The 19,089-nt window shown below is 36.9% G+C and overlaps 1 protein-coding gene and 1 pseudogene across 6 annotated transcripts in view, besides 1 other annotated feature; both read right to left on the bottom strand.

The window, feature by feature from the left end:
* Positions 1 to 1,048: 1,048 nt before the first annotated feature.
* The window catches only part of FAM81B (family with sequence similarity 81 member B), a 59,076-nt gene continuing 41,035 nt past the window's right edge, over positions 1,049 to 19,089 (bottom strand). For 4 of the 6 annotated variants that reach the window (NM_152548.3, XM_011543209.2, XM_011543210.3 and 1 more), the window contains 4 exons: positions 14,584 to 14,690; positions 4,793 to 4,928; positions 3,026 to 3,221; positions 1,049 to 1,341 (listed from right to left, as the gene is read on the bottom strand). In NM_152548.3, coding sequence (NP_689761.2) covers positions 1,208 to 1,341; positions 3,026 to 3,221; positions 4,793 to 4,928; positions 14,584 to 14,690 — 573 coding nt within the window. In that variant the 3' untranslated portion in view covers positions 1,049 to 1,207. Of the gene's footprint in view, positions 1,342 to 3,025; positions 3,222 to 4,792; positions 4,929 to 7,918; positions 8,060 to 14,583; positions 14,691 to 19,089 lie in introns of those variants that run through there. The other 2 variants (XM_011543207.2, XM_047416821.1) reach the window with 2 other exon arrangements.
* RTRAFP2 (RTRAF pseudogene 2) lies at positions 10,642 to 11,434 on the bottom strand (annotated as a pseudogene).
* Positions 10,775 to 11,707: an enhancer, noted in NCBI's record as "OCT4-NANOG hESC enhancer chr5:94775487-94776419 (GRCh37/hg19 assembly coordinates)". NCBI's record gives its function as "activates a minimal SCP1, AML or CMV promoter by ChIP-STARR-seq in naive and primed H9 embryonic stem cells {active_cell/tissue: H9 hESC(naive and primed)}" and the evidence as "EXISTENCE:reporter gene assay evidence [ECO:0000049][PMID:30033119]".

The raw sequence follows: 19,089 nt of genomic DNA, 5'->3' as shown, positions 1-19,089 counted from the left end.
CAAAGTTTCCATTGCCAAGCTTACATAAGTTCTGTGATTAGAAATTAGTCCTTGTTATAGCCGAGTGCATATCCTGAATAGTTCATTTTTATGTTTCATGAATATACTGCTCAATATTAGGCTCTATATTTAATATTTATATCTAGAAAAGTTAGACAATTTTTTTTTTGAGACAGAGTTTTGCTCTTGTCACCCAGGCTGGAGTGAAATGGCGTGATCTCAGCTCACTGCAACCTCTGTCTCCAGGGTTCCAAGTGATTCTCCTGCCTCAGCCTCCCGAGTAGCTGGTATTACAGGCGCACGCCACCACACCCGGCTAATTTTTGTGTTATTAGTAGAGACGGGGTTTCACCATGTTGGCCAGGCTGGTCTCAAACTCCTGACCTCAAGTGATCCACCCACCTCAGCCTCCCAAAGTGCTAGGATTACAGGTGTGAGCCACTGCACTTGGCCAACAATTTTTAATTGTATAGGAAACTAGCATTTTTGAAGTACTTCTGAATTTAGCACCTAGGTCAAATTACGTTGGATATGTTTTCATGGAAACTGTTGTATTCTCTTATTTTGCATGGTTTGGCTCTTAATTGCTTATAATTCTGGTACATATTGAGTACAAGGAAAATATATTTTAAATATGCATAAGTTAGACTTGCTACAAACATTGAGATTAGAAGTTGCAAACTGACCACTAGGTCATATCTGCTCCACAGGCGTATCTCACATAGTTTGAGAACTATTTTGAACTAGTTGCTAAAGCTTAAAAATAGAGGAATTTCTCTTGAAAAGTGGAATTTTGGATAATAATGGATTTTATATATATATATATATGTTAGTCATGGACTGTCACTACATAGTAGCTATTATTTTTAGACAGAGTAAGTGCTCTCCAATTTGCCAGAGCTCCTGTCATTCTTTAATATATTACAGCTGGCCTACTTCACTCATGTACCTTATGTAGATTCCTCTTTCGTTATTTATAGGTATATATATACATAAAGGCAGCTATATAAAGAAATTTCTTAGTTTTTTCATTAATAAATTCAAGACATCCGAAGCTTCTTTGCTTTATTATTTTTCTGGTACATTCGTCTCCTTAAAAGGAGACATTAGAAGCAGTAAACATCCCAGAGATAGTAACTTTCTTCTTCAGAACTTTTTCCAACAAATCACTCCATTGGCTGATGAAAAAGAAGATGACTGAAAAGGTTTATACTTCCTGGAGTTCCACTATCTTGCGCTGTAATTTCTTTAGGTCTTTCTGTACTTTATATTTCTCTAAATCCATCTTTGTTTTCTGTATTTGTTGGAGGGAGCTGAGAGAGTCATGAATTGATTTAAATCCTGTAAGAGGGTAAAAGAATAGGTACACTTAAACAATGCATTAGAGCTTTTTTTTAAAAAAGTTGCTAATCGGCAGTCCTGCCATAATTGATTATCATTTAATTCCAAGCGCATTAAATTCTATGAAGACCAGCCTAAAATTGTACATAATATATTTCTTGTATGTCATGAAGATCCATTCACAATAGTGTTTCAACTTATATCTAGTTATCTGGTTTCATTGTGAAATTTATTTTTCTCCTCCTCAAATATATTGCATAATTCTATATTGCAAGAGAGAAATTTAAAATATTTTATTCTTTCTGAATGCTTTGATGAGAGACTTGTGTGATTTTTTTTCAGTCTTGTTACCAAATTGAAGGTAAAGATCACAGATGAGATTTTAAATCTTCTCTGAAAGTAGCCTATTTGAGGGACCTAACAGCGGCCCCCTGCTGCCCTCCTCCCTCCTAGCACTTTGTATCTCTCTTATGCATGTCTAGTCACTCCTGACCACAGACCTATCAAACCTCAAGGCCTTAGGGCACAACCCATTTGTTATTCACTGGGGCCTTTCACAGAGTCGTTTCTCAACACATTTTTATTAAAGGCATAAAGCAGCAAACCATTAATTTGAAGTTCCCCCTTTTTAGAACTCCTCCTCATTAGTAAAATGAAAGAACTTGCAGGTGGTAAATTCCTTTTCAGTTCACCCTGAAGTTTTACTAATGGAATAAGTAAAATTAAACCTCTGATAGTTAAACAGAAAGCAGAGCCTTTAAAAGAAGGGCCAGTTAAGTTTGGGACATGATTCCTGGCCAGATAATTCATTATTTTGATATGACGGTGGGAGGGGTATATTGTGAGGGTTGAATTTCCAGGCAGCAAATTCTACTTATATGCCAGGAACATCTGGCAGATTGAGACCCTCATGTCCTCCCAAGGCACCTCCAAGGTATCTCTATACAGGACCAAATTTGGTAGAATTTACACATGAATTTTTCTGAGATCTAGAAGACAAAAGAAAAAAAATTACTTGGGACTTTCTCTAGGAAAGAAACTCTTCTGAGTCCTGGTAATTCCCTCAGAATTATGACTCAAGGCAGATGGCTGCACCACAGCACCTATTCCATGTCCTTCCCTTTGAGAAATTAGATGAGCCTTTCAAATTAATCCTCTTTGATGTTAGCTCAGCTTGACACTGCTGCCATTAGCCTCTTCAAAATAAAAGCAGTCATTATACTGGACTCTGCTAATTCATCCCTCTTTCTCACTTCTAAAGGTCAGGTCTCCAGTCTGACATCTGTCCAAGCTCATTACTTGTAGTTCAATGAGAAGGGCATTTGATTTAGGCTCTTAATTTCATAACATACCCACAAGTCACGTCTTGGGTATGTCCAAGGATTTTCCAAGTCTGACAATTCCATGAATTAGTAAAAATTCCATGATCTTAGTAAAAAAAAAAAAAAAAAAAAATTCACACCAATGGCAGGCCTGTGACATTGCCAAGTGAAGAAAGTTAATTTATTTATATGCCTTCCAGTATAATACTCATATTCTATAGGATATTTAGAAAAGTGGAATAAATACATAACGATGTCACTAATGACAAGATTGATCCCTGGCCATTAGCTCAAAGTGGAAGACTGAGGGATTGAACAGGAAAGGACAGATATTCTTTACTTAATAAAAGGTATCTGCTCACCTGATTGATATTCATTCTGCATTGTCTCTAATTCACCCCAGATCTGCTTTTCCATTTGTTCCATCTTTTTGGACAATTTATTTTCCATATGCTTTACTTTACTTAGTTGTGTTTCCTGTTTCTGTGTGTTAATGAAATTCTCTACTTTGCTTGAAAGCTGCAGCAGTTTTTCTTCCATTTTATTTTCAGACTTTTCCTGTAAAAGAGATTATGGGATAAAACTTCAGAAATGTACATGGATTTATCTTTCAGCTTAGAGAAAATATTTTTAACATTCATTTTTCTATGTTAAGCATGAAAATTCAAACCAAGTTCCTTTGTATCTAAAACTGTGTTCATAAGTATAAGAGTTAATCCCTTTGGCCCTGTTCATTTGTAGTTTCTGGAATTCAACATGTAATGGAATAAAAGAAAAGGGCTGTAGCGTGGCCCAAATGCCTTGAGAATTTGGCATTTAAGTCTAATATTCAAAGACATTTTAGATACTGCTTTTCCTGAGTTTCTTGGACATACTCCCTCAATTTCATACCTCCACGTGGACAGACTTCGGCTAGAATAGTGACTCGCCATTCCAGTCGTTTAGTAACATCACCTGGACCATACCCCAGCCCCAGGAATTCTGATTTAATTGGTCTGTGATGGAGCTCAAGAACTGATAGGATTTAAGCACTCTCCAGGTGATTCTAATGTACAACCAAGGTAGGGACTGCAGAGTCAGCCTTAGGATAATCAGCTGCTTTTCTCCTCACTTCTCCACAGGGAATCTGGGAGCAGGAACTGGGCATGGCAGGTATGACCCTTTTGGTTCTCCTCTCTTTGGCCCCATCTGCCTCAGGAATAAGTGTTGGTGGATTCCAGTCTCTGTGTTCCTTATGGTGGGAGGTTTCTGCCTGCACAATGACCCCACGGTTACCTAGTGCTGCGTATAACTGGTAAAGGAATCTGCCTAATTCAGGAGTGAAGAGCTAGCAGTCCCACTCGGCAGCTGCAGTCTTACCACACATACTTCGATAGCCTTACCAGTGATAAAGCTTTATGTTTATCTCCAACTCTTGGCTCCTTTGTAACTCTATCAGCTGTTTACAAACTCAGGCTGGAGCTGGGGACATTATTTCCTGAGCTGCCTCTGCCTAAAGTCTCTCTACCTAAGTTCTCAAAACATCTTACTTTAGTCACCTGCAGGACTGGCAGCCATTGACCACAGTGATGGCGCTGTGCTGCCCTTCCCATTGGGTAAGGTGTGCTGGTTGCAGTGGGAGAGGGGACCCCTGAAATAAGTATATTTCTCATAAACCTTGGTAGCCTCACCCCAAAGCTTGGGGCTGTCTTTACATGGTCTGATCTGAAAAAAAGAGTTTTGAAAACTTTTAATCTACTAAGAGATCTTCAGAAAAGTCAAATGACTTGTCTGCACATCACTCAGGGAGTGTGCCTTTAACCACTGATTCCCAGGGGAGGCCCCAAGAGAGTCAGACTCTCTGGGTCTGGGGTGGCAATCTATTTTTTTTTTTTTAAAAAAAAAAACCTCTTCAGATTCTTTTGGTACAGGTAGAGCACACTCTGAGAAACACAGGTTTGCAGAGTTGGGGAGTAGCAAACAGGACCAGAAGACAGGCCTCTGGACTCCTATTGTGGTGTTTAAAAAAAAAAAAGTTACTGAAGCAGTGAAGATTACCATAAATGTTGAAGTACAAATTCCCAGACCTTTACTCACTGCTAACAAGGACTATGCAGGTGCTTGCTTCACAAAATAACAGAACTCCTCACCAGTTTCTCCTGTAGGACCTTCAGACATTCATTTATATGGCCCAGGTGGTCTTTTCTATATTTGAGAAATTGGTTTTCTGTCCATTTTTTATTATTCTCAACTTCTTCGTACAGATTACTTGAAAGTGAATGAAATCTATGGGAAAAAATGTTTTGTTTCATTTAAATAAGTTAATTTAAACATAAAAAATTAGTATTGAAAAAGTCTGCAGTTTTTTGAGGTGACGAGACTCAGTGTGTCTAGCAAGTATTTGTGGGGTGATGTGGGAGGTGCCAGAGGCAAGGTAAGTACACTCTGGGTTCCTGTCCTGAGCTTGAGTTCAGTCCAGCTACTGTTAACACCCCCTCTACATACCCTAAAATACAAACACACAGTGACAGGAGCACTGCTGGCTGGGAGCTAACCACAGCCACACTGAAATGTAGTGTTATCCATGCAGAATTCCTCTCATGGCCTGGGGCTCACTGGTTGTGTGTGGAGGAAATACTTTGATAAGTTCCCTTGTGGTGGGGATTATTACTCATGCTAGGCGTTGTCTGTCAAAGGCCAGATAGTAAATATTTTAGGCATTGTGGGCCATATAGTCTCTGTTGCAACCACTCAATGCTCCATTGCAGTGGGAAAGCAGCCACAGATATGTAAAGAAATGAGTACGGTTATAGTCTAATCAAACTTTATGTAATATTCACATGTTATGAAATAGAACTCTTTAATTATTAGAATGCATAGAAGCCATTCTTAGCTGTGGGTAAATGTGGCTAAGTGTGATAGTTTGCTGACTCCTGCTAAGTGCCGGTATGTGGCTGGGAGAGGAGCAGGGGCAGAGAGGACCTGCATTGTCTAGCAGAGGAGAGAAAGGTCAGAGGCAGGAGAATGGAGGAGAAAAGCCCCCAAAGAACCTGGGGAATGTGCCAAGGGGGACTTTAGGTTGCATTTGTCTCAGGCAAAATCTTCCATAAAGTCCCCATTGCTACCAATGAGTCTGTGTGAGTGGATTTTTTTTTTAGGGGGCATTTAAAGAGGCCTTGAATTACTCATGTGGGGCAAAAGCAGAAGTAATAGAGGTACAGGAAGGTACCTACGGGACCTATCAAGATGATGCACCATAGAAGTATTAAATAACAGAGAATGAAAGATTTTTAAGAATAGAAGTGGATAAAAGGGTTGGAATCATATATCATCAGTTGAGAAGTCACTGTAGAGTGGCCGAGGGTTTGAGGAGAGAGGGGAATCCAATCTGAATTAAATGAGGTATGGGACTGGGAAGAGGTAGGATGAGGGATGGGGACTTGTGAGTGGTTTCTGTGTGTGTTTTCTGCATGTGACTTGCTCATGATAAGATGTTGGCTTCAAATTCCCTTTTAGAATAGGTAAAACTGTTAGATTGGCAAGAACAATGTTTGTTATTGAAAATATTCAGACTGTCTTACAATGTATGGTACAGACAGTTAAAGTAATAATTGCTCTGATGTTTTCAGACAAAATTATATGCATATAATTTAGTTTGTGATGTTTATCATTGGAAATTAATTAAGTCATGCTGGACATACACTCCATATACATGCCTCTCTTGCTCTTTGGAAAAAGTGTTTGGGCTAATTATTAGAAAATACAAGTTCTGTGAAATCATTATTTTTAGGCTAATAGCTTTCAACTGGGGGCAGTTACCCCCCTCCCACCTGCTTGCCCCTGGGGGACGTTTGATAACATCTGGAGACAATTTTGGTTGTCACAACTGAGAGGTGTTACTGGCATCTAGTGGGTAGACACTAGAGATGCTGCTAAACATCTTACAATGCACAGGAGAGACTCACAACAAAGAATGATCCAGCTGAAATACCAATAGTGCCGACACTGAGAAAACCTGACTTAGATGATGAAACCAAGGAATGGGAAATGTAAGTTAATTTTCCAATAGTTATATTAGTTACAGTCTAATAGCTAAATTCTGATCTTTGTCCTCTGAATTCTCTCATTATTTTTGACACAGAGTGATATTTTTCACATAGATATGAGGCATATCTTGATTGACTGTTGAGTACCTCAACACTGAAGAAGATGGAGTTGGTTTCTATTCGTGTTCTTAGTCTAATCATGATTCCCAATCACCTGTGCTGTTGGTTAACAGCTGTTGGATCTCAGACAAATAAGCCCACCCACTGGATACGTAGACTCCCTCATTTTAGCCAATTATTTTCTCTATCTGGAATACTCTTCCTCAGAATATCCATTGGCTCCTGCCCTAATCTCATTCAGATTTACATTTATACACCACCTTAAAAAATAGAACTCTTTCTCCTTATTTGAAACTTCCTATTCTCTTACCCTACTTAATTTTTCTCCAAAATTCTCATCACCATCTGACGCACACTAATTTGTGTTCTATCTCCTCCACTAAAAGTTAAGCTCCATGAAAGCAAGAATTTTGCATTGTTCATGGCTGATAACAATGCCTGGAATATAGTAAGTGCTCAATAAATAGTTGGCTAAATGAACAAATGGGTCATTCTTTCTCATTAAGTATCTTTTATTAGCATTGCTGACAAATAACAAATCATAGATTTGTCAAGCTATTTAGAAATCTAATCTGCTTTGGTTTTCATCTTCCTTTCCCTGTCTCTGGTGGAAGTATTAATTAATAGTCATAGTTAAGGGGGCCAGTAAATCCCCAGATAATCAAGAGATAGCTTTACAATTGAGAATCCAGCCTTCAGTGCCCACCTTTACTGTATAACAAATAAATGAGAGCATTTACTCTTTTATCACTGATACAATATTAACATCCCTCTGAAAACCAAGGAAACATTAAGTATGCCCATGTAATATCTCTGGAAGGGCATATCAGTAATTGAAATTCTGAAATTAAAGCCATAAAGAATGAATTACTACTTATCCTTTTATTACAAGATTTGCTTTCAGCTGGGGATTAATTTTCCTGGTAACACCCAGAAGTTGGATTCTGTTGGTAGTTTATTAAAATTTGAAAGCATTTTTGAAATAGCAATCTCCTTGAGAGATGTAAAGAATAAGTAAAATAAAGGTTTGTATAACTCTTTTTCTTTGCATAAGCTTTTCCCGGACATAATGGACATGATTTGCCATAATATATTAATTACAGAACTTACAGTTAAAATCTCAGCAGTATGAATCTATCTTAGATGACATTCACATTTTAGATCCCAAATCTTCTATTTCAATAGGTGTATGAGCATTTCTATTAGATGTATACAGATAGGTGATGAGATAGAGCTTATTCTTTCCTTTTCCTCAAAACACAAAAGTCAGACATTTAAATTATAGCTAGAGACCTCACTAGGATGATGAGGGCTATTGGTTGTTTTTATGTTTTTAAGTGTTTATGCTGATTTAATCAAATTAAAGTACACACCGAGAGCAATTATAAGGGAGAAAATTACAAAACAGTGAAGGAAAGCTGAGTGAAGATCTACAGACATAGCAGGGCACAAGGCAGAGAGCTGCAGTGAGGGATTAGTGGTGAAGGCAGCCAGGGTCCGCCTTCCTTGGTCATGGATGACATACAGAAATGAGGATGTAGCTCTATCCTAGGCCAGTTTTGCCACTACACTTATGTCCCAAAACCAATGTCTTGTGTTAAAAAAAATCTGTTGAATGAACTTTTCCAAGATTTTGAATTCTTGGAAACTATTACTGCTAGCAGGCTCTCAAGAACTTAGATAGGGCTTTGACCAAGTGTGAATGTAAAAAGAATTAGTGGCCTTTCATTTGCTGATAAACAGAAGATATTTTCATTTTTGTAATCATATTTGAAAAAGAGCTTAAGACAGACCATATGCTATTATTTCTTTGGAGACTGAGTCTAAGATTCTAAGTTTCATATTAGAAACCAAAAATTAGTTCCAAGAAATACTGTTTTTCTACTAACTTTACACCTACAGGTAGAACTCTCAAACTAATTTCTTCTTAATGTTATGTGATTTCTAATTAGTGACACTAAAAATCAATTCTGCCTCCACTCTGATAGAAAGACTTTTGTTTCTTAGATATTCCAAATTGTTCAAATCCCAATACATTCACAGCCTGTTTCCCAGCCACCCAAGTCAATGTGGTCTTTCCCTTTTAAAAATTTCTGTGGTAGAATTAGTTTTCAATAGACAGAATTGTGAGATGGAAACATCATGAATTGATCAAAACAATTTGAGCTTTAGAGTCAGACACTTTCTAGCTGTGTGATTTTGGGCAAATTAATCTCCATGATTTTATATGTCCTAATCTTTAAGATAGGGATAAATAAGATCCACCCTGCAGAGCTGGGTGCATTGAGTATCTTCAGCACTAGTGGTTGGTAAGCATTCATAAATGACGATTACTGTATTTATTATTTCTGCCTATTGATACATCATCTCATTTAACATTGTCTTAACTTTTACTTTTCCTGTGTTTAGCTTTTCACTTATGTTGTTTCTTCTCAACTGTAAGTAGCAAGGATTATGTTTGGATATTCTAAAACACAGTTTACATAATATAGGTGCTCAAAAATCGTTCATTCATTCATTGGCTTCTACTTCTATTTCAATGTGTTGGGTGCTAAAGATACAAAGTTGAATTTGACATATCTCTGTACTGGGTAATTATTAACTTTCTACTGTGGTAGTGTTTTCAAAGTTGGATGATATTATTTGAGTCTATGCATTTGCTTCATTGACCAAACACTTTTTCTTTTCTTATAAATCACTGTCTACTAAACAAGCGTCAGCAGTAAGAGCTATCTAGGGAGTGACTGGTAAGTGCTGCCCCTGCCAAACCCTTGTTAAAAGACAGCTTTATTTCCTGATGGCCAAGACTCTTGCTGTGTAAGAACTAAGTAGGCTTAGGACATTACTTAGCAGAAGCTCAGAGGATGATCCTTCTGAGGAGGAGGCACAGTGGAGGGGTTCAGTGCATGTCTTTGTCGGATCTAGAGATCAGTGCCCAAATCCCAGCAATTCACTAGAAAAGTGTCAGAAAACACTGTAGCTTTTAAGTTCAATATAAGTTTAGTTGACCATTAAACTTGAATTTGTAAATGTTTCTAAATGGGAAGATTGCCTATTTAACCTTTTTTTTTTAATTTGCAGACATAGTTTTATTTATATTTATTTATTTATTTAGATACAGAGTCTCACTCTGTCGCCAGGCTGGAGGAGAGTGGCACGATCTCTGCTCACTGCAACCTCCACCTCCCGGGTTCAAGCCATTCTCCTGCTTCAGCCTCCCGAGTAGCTGGGACTACAGGCGCCCGCCACCACGGCCGGCTAATTTTTGTATTTTTAGTACAGGCGGGGTTTCACTATGCTGGCCAGGATGGTCTCCATCTCTTGATCTCGTGATCTGCCCGCCTTGGCCTCCCAAAGTGCTGGAATTACAGGGGTGAGCCATCGCGCCCGGCCAGATGCATAGTTTTAATTTTGAAAAATGCGCATGTAAAGTTTGAGGTTCCTCGGCTGCTGTTTCTGGTGCTTGGCCGTCAGGAATGGTGGCTATGGAAGCCGAGGCTCTTTGTATGTTTTAGCCGCTGGTATCATTTTGACAACCTGTCTTGACAGGTTTTAATTGTATCTTGGCAAGTGAGGTGACATAAAAGCCATCGTCTCGGGTTTCAATTTACTAATGAGGATGGTGGTGGAGACGGAATTACCTTGGCGTTTTGAAGGCATTTGCTCCTGGATTCCCTGCCAAGACACCTGCGAGTAGGTGTGGCACGGGGAAACTTTTTCAGTATTGCTCTTCTCTTCTCTCTCACATTTTCCATGATTGACATCTGGTAACCACAGAGGTATCCCGAGTGAAGGTGGCCCTGGCCTGCAGCAGCTCTGCTCTTTTTTTTCCCCTACTTTCCTAAACTTTATTAAAGAAAAAAGCACTAGAACATAGTCACTTTTCTGGGATTCCTCCCCGCAAAATGTGACGTTTGATTTTCAAACATGCCAGAAGTGGACATGGTTCCCAGTTGTACTAAATAGGTGAGAAGCTGAAGTCCTAAAGTGTTCATCTTCCAACTTTTCCCAGTCTGTGGTCTGTCCTTGGATCAGTAATAATTGTCTGAACAGCTACTATGGCTTCATTAATTTTTGTCTGTAGCTCTCTGAGCTCTTCTATATGCAGTAATTGCAGAATTTGAGCAGCTTCATTAAGAACTGCATCTCCTGCATCAAAACCAATAATATTTTGTCTAAAGCAACAGGCAAACCCTCTGTTTGATTTGCCTTAGCAACTGCATCCTGTCAGGTGCTCCTGAACCAAAATTCGAATTGCCTTAGGCATTACCAGGTAATCGTCATGACATTGAATCTGAAGCAGGTTAGCCTTCACACCAGCCTTAACATCAGGATTATTTACATCCAAATTGATCAATGGTTCTGCATTTTTAGTTGCATTGTCAGCAGTTTTTGCATAATCAGGTACTAAGTCCTTGTATTTTTCAGCATTATCTCCATATTCAAGCCTCACAGCTAGACCGAGAAGCCAGTCAATAGCTTCTTGTTGATCTTGAATCTTGAAAGGACTTGTCAGCACCTCTGAGACACTTTTCAAAGAACTTGTGCCAGTCTCTGCTGTGGATGTTTCTTAAATTAGCTGTCTTCAATCTTGTAGTGTCTAATTTTCTGGTCTTCAAGCCAAACAAAGGTTAACCTTAACCTTTGTTAAAAGACTTTTTTAGAGACCAGGTCTTGCTCTGTCATCCAGGCTGGCATGCAGTGGTGCAATGACAGCTCATTGTAACCCGAACTCCTGGGTTCAAGCGATCCTGCTTGCCTCAGCCTCCTGGGTAGCTGGGACTACAGGTGTGTGCCACGGTGTCTGACTAAACTTAACCTTTAATGTTATTAAAACACTTTTATTTAAAGTTAATCTCTTTATTCAGAGAAAGTTATTTCTTTAAAAAAAGTGAATTCTATACATTATCTACTTCATTTTTAAATGTATATGTACCTCAAAATCCTAATATTAGCAGCAGTTTACTTTTTTTTAAAGTAGTGGAACTACTTATTTTTGTTCAAAGTTAACCTTGTTAAAAACTAAATCCAATATACCAGATTGAAACAGAGGTCTTCTGATTGAAAAAAAAAATAACCCTGTCTTACTTTCTCTTTGAGCAAAATACATTTTCAATACATATCTCAGTCAAATGGTTAATATCTCTAATGTGAAAGAATCCTAAAAATTGATAAGACAATGACAAAAATCCCAATACAAAATTTGATAAATAATAATGGGCAATTCACAGAATATTCAAATAGTAAAAGGGAATGCAAATTAAAACAGATGCTTTTTTCATCCTTTGGCCAGTATTAAAAAGAGAACACATTCATCATTGGTTAAAATGTAGAGAAAGGTCTTCTCATACATTGCTGGTCGAAGTGTAAAACCCTACAACATTTTAAAGAAGAAATTTATAAAATTAAAATATACATATATATATATATATATATATATATATACTCTTTAACCTAGCAAGCTTGCCTATAGAAATAAAAGTGCCAGTATTTAAGGATATCTAAGGATATACACATAATACTTTTTTTGTTTCTTGTGGTAGTCCTAAACTAGAAATAATCCATTCAGCAATAAGATAAATGGTTGAATTAATTATGGCACATATATAAGTTAAAAGATTGTACAGCTATAAAAAACTTAGAACATTTACTGATCTGGAGAGATATCCAGGATGTACTAGAAAAATCAAATAATTGAGTAATAGGTATAGAAATTATTTTTAAAACCCATGCTTCCTCTATACATATAATATATACATATCCTTTCTCTGTTATATACTTATATTAACAAGGAGGAAATTGAGGATGGCTACATCCCTGGTGTTAATATTGATTACAACAGAAGGCTGAGATGATGACCTCTTTTTTCACTGTTGTTGGTTTTTTTTTTTTTTTTACAATTAATGCATATTTTTAATTTTTAAAATTGGAGAAAATTTAAATATAAAAGTCAGTTGTGTAACTAAATGAATTATTAGAATTATTTGCCTGGGGGAAAAGCATGGTTTATAGAGTCACTGCCACCTACTGTAATACTACTGAAATATTAAGACTTCATTATTTAAAGTGAGAAAAAGAGTCAAGTTTACACTGTTATAAAAGTGTCCAGATTCAGATTTAACTACTCAGATGACTTTCCATAAGCCAAATTCCCATAATACCAAAGACAGAAAAAATGAGCATCATCAGTAATGCAGCAGTTAGCCCTGGATCTCAAACATTTCCTTTTTCTCTCTTTTCCACTTGTTAATATACCTCATCCCTTTAAGTCAGCCTTCCATTTCAGTTTATAAATCCCATCCCTTCCCTATACAGTCAATTCTTAATCTGTATATCTAGAAACAGATTACTGTTCTACTTTTCCTTTGGACAGTTTTCTTTGTCTTAATTCCAAGCTAAAGGTATTAGATTAGCTACTCACTGAACACCCTCATTGTGCTAGAATTTAAGAAAGTAGAAATGCTTTCTTAGACTATGAAGAACATGAATATTTTCTGTTTACTTGACAACTACTTCTCCAAGTTTTAGTAAGGACAATTGTTTTACATCAACTTGTAAGACACACATATTTCGCATTTTAGCATCTCCAAAATCAAGAAATATCTTAAAATGATGATATGCTACGGTTTAATTGTTAGCTTCATGTCTTACAGGTACAAAATTATAATGGTGCATGTTATATTCAATGGCACTTAGATTTAATAAAATACAGTAGAGATGGGAAAAAATGGAGAAAGTAGAGTATTATCAGGATACTGGATTTGATTAAGGCATTAAACCCAAATGTTGTGAGACATAGAGTAAAAAGAATAAGAGCATAAGGGACAGTATGATAGTATCCAAGTAACTAGAATTTCCCTCTGCCTGCACCATGACCCTGGAAATGATGATCATTTAAAAAAAGAAAAAAAGGGAGATTTGATAATAAGGAAGCCAGTAATTTGAACATTTGTGGAGCTGTCTCCTTTACTGCTTTCTCCATTGAGTGGAGGAAAAAATTCAGTTTAAGATGGGGTAGAGACCAGTCTTAAAAAGAAATAATGTAGGCCGGACACAGTGGCTCACGCCTGTAATCCCAGCACTTTGGGAGGCTGAGGCGGGCGGATCACCTGAGGTCAGGAGTTCGAGACCAGCCTCAACATGGAGAAACCCGGTCTCTACTAAAAATACAAAATTAGGTGTCGTGGTACATGCCTGTAATCCCAGCTACTCAGGAGGCTGAGGCAGGAGAATGGCGTGAACCCAGGAGACGGAGCTTGCAGTAAGCAGAGACGCGCCACTGCACTCCAGCCTGGGCGACAGAGCGAGACTCCGTCTCAAAATAATAATAATAATAATAAAATAATGATAATGTAAAGGAGTAAATAGAGGATGTTAGGAAGAATCTTAAAGGAAAAGCTTGTGTATCAAAATTGTTTTTAAAAATATTTGATAATCTTGAGGAATGAAATTATTTTCCATAGTGCTTTACATTGAGACATTTTAATATGCAATTGATAATAAGTAAAAATTACAGGAAGGGTAAAAATGATTGTGTCAATTCAGTTGAGATATTGTGCAGTCAAAGTGAATGATAAGATTAATATTCATAATTCTTTTATTATAAATATTATATAAGTTACTTTAGTGTAAAATATTCTCTGTGTTAGTTCACTGCTTTATTTCTTGGCCAGGTTCAAATTCCTGGGATAGGTTTTTATTTCATGCCAATGCTTTCATTAGGCAAAACTCTTTGGAATGCACTTAACAGAATTAAAAATCTTCTATTCACTTACTTGAATTCCAAAAGGTTCATTTCGTGGCGATAATCCCCCTGGACCATCTTTAAATTCGAGGTTTGCTCAGAACTGGCAGTTTCTATCTTTCCTAAGAGCTGCATCACCTAGTCAAAGTACGAGAGGGTTTGTGCATATGAACAAAACCACCAGCATTCACATTAATATACTTTATTCCTTTAAGGAGCCGGGAAACAGATTAATATACTTTATTCCTTTAAGGAGCTGGGAAACAGACTTGAACCTAAAGCATGATTGCACTTGAAAATGCCTTGTGTTCAAATGAGTATTACAGTTACACTATCTTCAAGGAAAGAATAATAGGGAGTGTTCCATTCTGTTGTCTAGAATATTCTTTTTGATCATAGGCCATCTAATGATATAACAAAAACATGCTGTTTCCATTAGTTTGTTTATTAGTCTGTTAATTTGATTATATTTCTACTTCTCTATTGTCTCCCGTTACAATACAAGATATGGTATGCTATTACCACCATATCCTCAGTGCACATTAGGTGATCAATGGTAAATGCTCAACAAATACTTATTGAATAAATGTTTAAATGCACAATCAGGCTCTGAGGAAAACACACATGACTGGCCCAAGATTTCCAGATAGTATTCTGACATGAGCACAAGTGAATCCCAAGTGAAATGACTTAGGGCATTTAAGGATAGGAAAAAAACAAATTCCAGTTTTAGAATTTAAGATTAGAGCACCTTTCAAACTGCCAGAAACATTGAGAAAGTTTCTTTATGTAAAAGAACTGGATTAAAAAATAGAGGCAGAATTGCAACCCATAATCATGCCTAAACTAGTCACTTTTAAGGAGAATGAAACTACATGATTGGCTTTGGTCAAACAGAATTCAGCTCCTAATAAAGACGGTCATATGGAGGAGAGTGGGCATTTAATAAAATGAGTTCTTATGAAAGAAAGAGGGGAGTAACGGAAGGATTTGAATAGGTAAGTGTTGGGTGGGCAACCAACAGCAGTTGAGTGGCTATTTACAGGAGAAAGATACACTTAAAACAGGCTAAAGATGGAAATGTTTGAAATAAAATAATAGGCAATTTATTATAATAATAGGCAATTACAGGTAAAGGCAAAGGAAAATAAAGCAGCAGAGCAATATTAATGTTAGGTAAAATATTACTTAAAGCAAAACACATTTAAAAATGGGACAAAGATGGTCATCTTTATAGATGAAGAGTAAAACTCATTGTGAAAGTAGAGAGCTGTGAATATTTATATATTGAGCAAAAAAGCAACAGCTTTTCAGGATAAACAGAGACAATACATTAATGATTTTAAATGACTTTTCTTGACTCTTTACTGGTCAAGTAAGTAAAATATAAATAATGATACAAGAAAATATAAAAACTGTAAATGTATTTCATAGATTTATATATCAAACCATGTAACTTGGAAACAGCATTCATTTTTTCCCAGTGCCCACTAAGCATCTGCAACAACCAAGCACATATGCAACATTAAGAAAATCTCAAATTATTCCAAAAAGCAGGAAAAGCACAGGCCATAACTCCACACTGTGCTAAAACTAGAAGTTAATAAGGAAGCATAAAGGAATAAAAACCCACAAAAACCCAGTCACTTGAGTAAAAAAAAAGCAACAAAAAACCCACTCTTGATTTTAGTGTTTCACATGAAAATGTGCCTCTTAGATGTCCTACTGCAAGGAGCATAATTGGCCAAGGGCTGTGACTACTGTGCTCAAAATCCATCACGAGTGTCCAGACCATGCTTTCTACAGGCCGTGCCTAGCCAATGTCTGAGTAGTCCTTTGATGCGTGACTTTTGTTCAAGGAACAAAGGAACTCACTGAAATAATCTTAGAATGGCACTGCAATCCTAAAGCCTTCTTTCTCCATCTTTTTCACAGAAACCAGACCTCTGTCATAGTCTCCCTCCCAATTTTTCTTCATCAATTTTCCTCTCAATAAATTTCTTGCACATTTAATTCCTTTATGGCATTTGCTTCGCAAAGGATCTGGACTAACACAAGTGCCGAAGAGTAAATCAACACTGCAATTACAAATTTACTTAGGAGAAGATAATGGAAACATTACATATCAAAAGGACACAGCCAAATATATAATCAGAGGTAAATTTGTGGCATTAAATATTTTCATAATTATACAAGAAAGAATAAGGCAATGTAAGTGAATCATTCATTTCACGAAGTTTAAAAGGAATAAAAAATTCCTAATCAAAGGAAAGCAGGATGAAGAAATTGACAAATTGTGGGAGGCAGAATGGGCTCGAAAAGATGTCCATGCCCTCAGTCTGAAACCTGTGAAGGTGCGATGCTGTAGAGCAAAAGGGATTTGCAGCTGTAATTAAAGTAAAAGGGGGAGATTATTCTGGATTATCCAAGTGGGCCTAACTTAATCACAGGGCTCCTAAAAGCAGAGAAGTTTTTCCAGCTGGTGTGAGAGGGATGCAGCAGAAGGTGAAGTCAGAATGACTTGAAGCATGAGAAGGACTTGACCTGCTGTTGCTGGAGAAAGGCCACATGGAAAACACAAGAAGGAAGGTAGGCGGCCTCTGGAGCAAGGACCAACCCCCAGCTAACAGCCTGCAAGGACCTCAGGACTACAACTGCAAGGAACTGGATTCAAAAGTTTGAATGAACCTGAACAGGATTCATTCCCAAAGCCTCCATAAAGAAACACAACTCTGCAGACACCTCGATTTCTGCCTTATGAGATCCTGAGGGTCCAGTCTAGCCCCTCCCAAATTTTGACCTACAGAAAGCATGAGATAATGCATTTGTGTTGTTTTAAACTATTATGTTTATGGTAATTTGTTAAGGCAGCAATTGAAAACAAATATTTTAAAAATAAATGAATAAAAACAAAAGGTATGGGGATTGATGTGTAATCCAAGGGCTGGTTTTTCGAAAAGGTAATAGGCAAAGTTTGTTCTACTCTACATGTGAAGTGAGGAAACTTAAGTATTAAAATTAAGAAAGAAAAAAGAGTAGTTATGAATATCTGTAAGCCAAATAACATAGCAGAAACATTCTAAAAACTGAAATTATAGGTGAAATGGAAGTCTGATAACCAGAGGAGACTTTAATTCACCTCTCAATCCAAGACAGCAGTAGACTAAAAAATAAGTAAGGATCAGAAGATTTAACCAGTAAGTTATTCCCTATAAGTACTGATTGAACTTTGTGCCCTAAAAATACAGAATACACTTTTTTTAGAACATGTATGAAAATGGACTATCCAGCCACCAAAAACAATCCTCAAAATATTCCAAAAACTAAAACTTACATATATTAAAATTTTTACCTACAATGAGATGAAACTAAAAATGAATACCAGCATAACAAAACAAAAAGTCCTTAACTCAGAGGGTGGGGAAAAAACTTCCTTGATATGGTTTGGCTGTGTCCCCATCCAAATCTCATCTTGAATTGTAATTCCCATAATCCCTACATGTCATGAGAAGGACCCCGTGGGAGGTAATTGAATCATGGGGGCAATTACCTGCATGCTGCTATTCTCATTATAGTGAGTGAGTTCTCATGAGATCTGATGGTTTTATATGGGACTTTTCCCCCTTTTGCTTGGCACTTCTCTTGCCTGCCACCATGTAAAACATGCCTTTGCTACCCTTCACCTTTCACCATGACTGTGAGGTCTCCCCAGCCATGTGGAACTATGAGTCCATTAAACCTCTTTCTTTAAAAAAATAAATTACCCGGTCTTGGGTATGTCTTTATTAGCAGTGTGAGAACAGACTAATACACTCCTCTTAACTATTTAAGGGAAAATACCACATGCAATTGCAGAATTTCTAGGAAATAATAATGAGAATACTACATGTTAAACTCCGGGGGATATAAGGAAGAAGAATGAATGCTCAGGAAAAATTCACAGCCATAAATGCTCATGTCAGCAAAAAAGACTACAAATACATGTGGTTTTAAAAAGTTGCAAAATGAACAACAAAATACCCTGCAGGCAAGGAAAAAGAAAAGATAAAAGGTGAAATTGGAGAGTTGGAAAAGACAATAGAAGCAGAAAATAAAAAATATATAAAAGGATTTGTTAATTGTAAAATCATTGTTAAGGCACACCTAACCTAATCAAGGGGGAAAAAAAGAAAAGCACAAATATACAAAATAATAAAATAGAATAAATAAAAGCAGAGAGAATTAAAACCACCCTAAAAGCATTTTGCATAACTTTATGCAAATTCAAAATCTGAAGGAAATAGATTTTTTTTCTAAGAAAAAGTAATTTATAGAAGCTAACCTCTGAAGAGATAGAAAGTTTAAGCAGACTAATCAACAGAAAGAGACCTTGTCTCAAAAAAATAAATATAAAAAATGAAAGCTATCAAAGGGCTTCCTTCCCCATCAAATCATCAGGCTCAGATAATATGTCAGAAGCAAAGCTACCAAATCCTTAAAGAATACTTATAATACTCTTTAAACTGTTTCAGAACATAGAAAAATAAGAAAACTTTCA

The sequence above is a fragment of the Homo sapiens genome, chromosome 5 (genome assembly GCF_000001405.40).
Source record: "Homo sapiens chromosome 5, GRCh38.p14 Primary Assembly".
In the NCBI taxonomy this organism is placed as follows: Eukaryota; Metazoa; Chordata; class Mammalia; order Primates; family Hominidae; genus Homo; species Homo sapiens.
The sequence above is the reverse complement of the archived record's forward strand: the minus strand, read 5'-3'. Positions and strand labels throughout refer to the sequence as shown.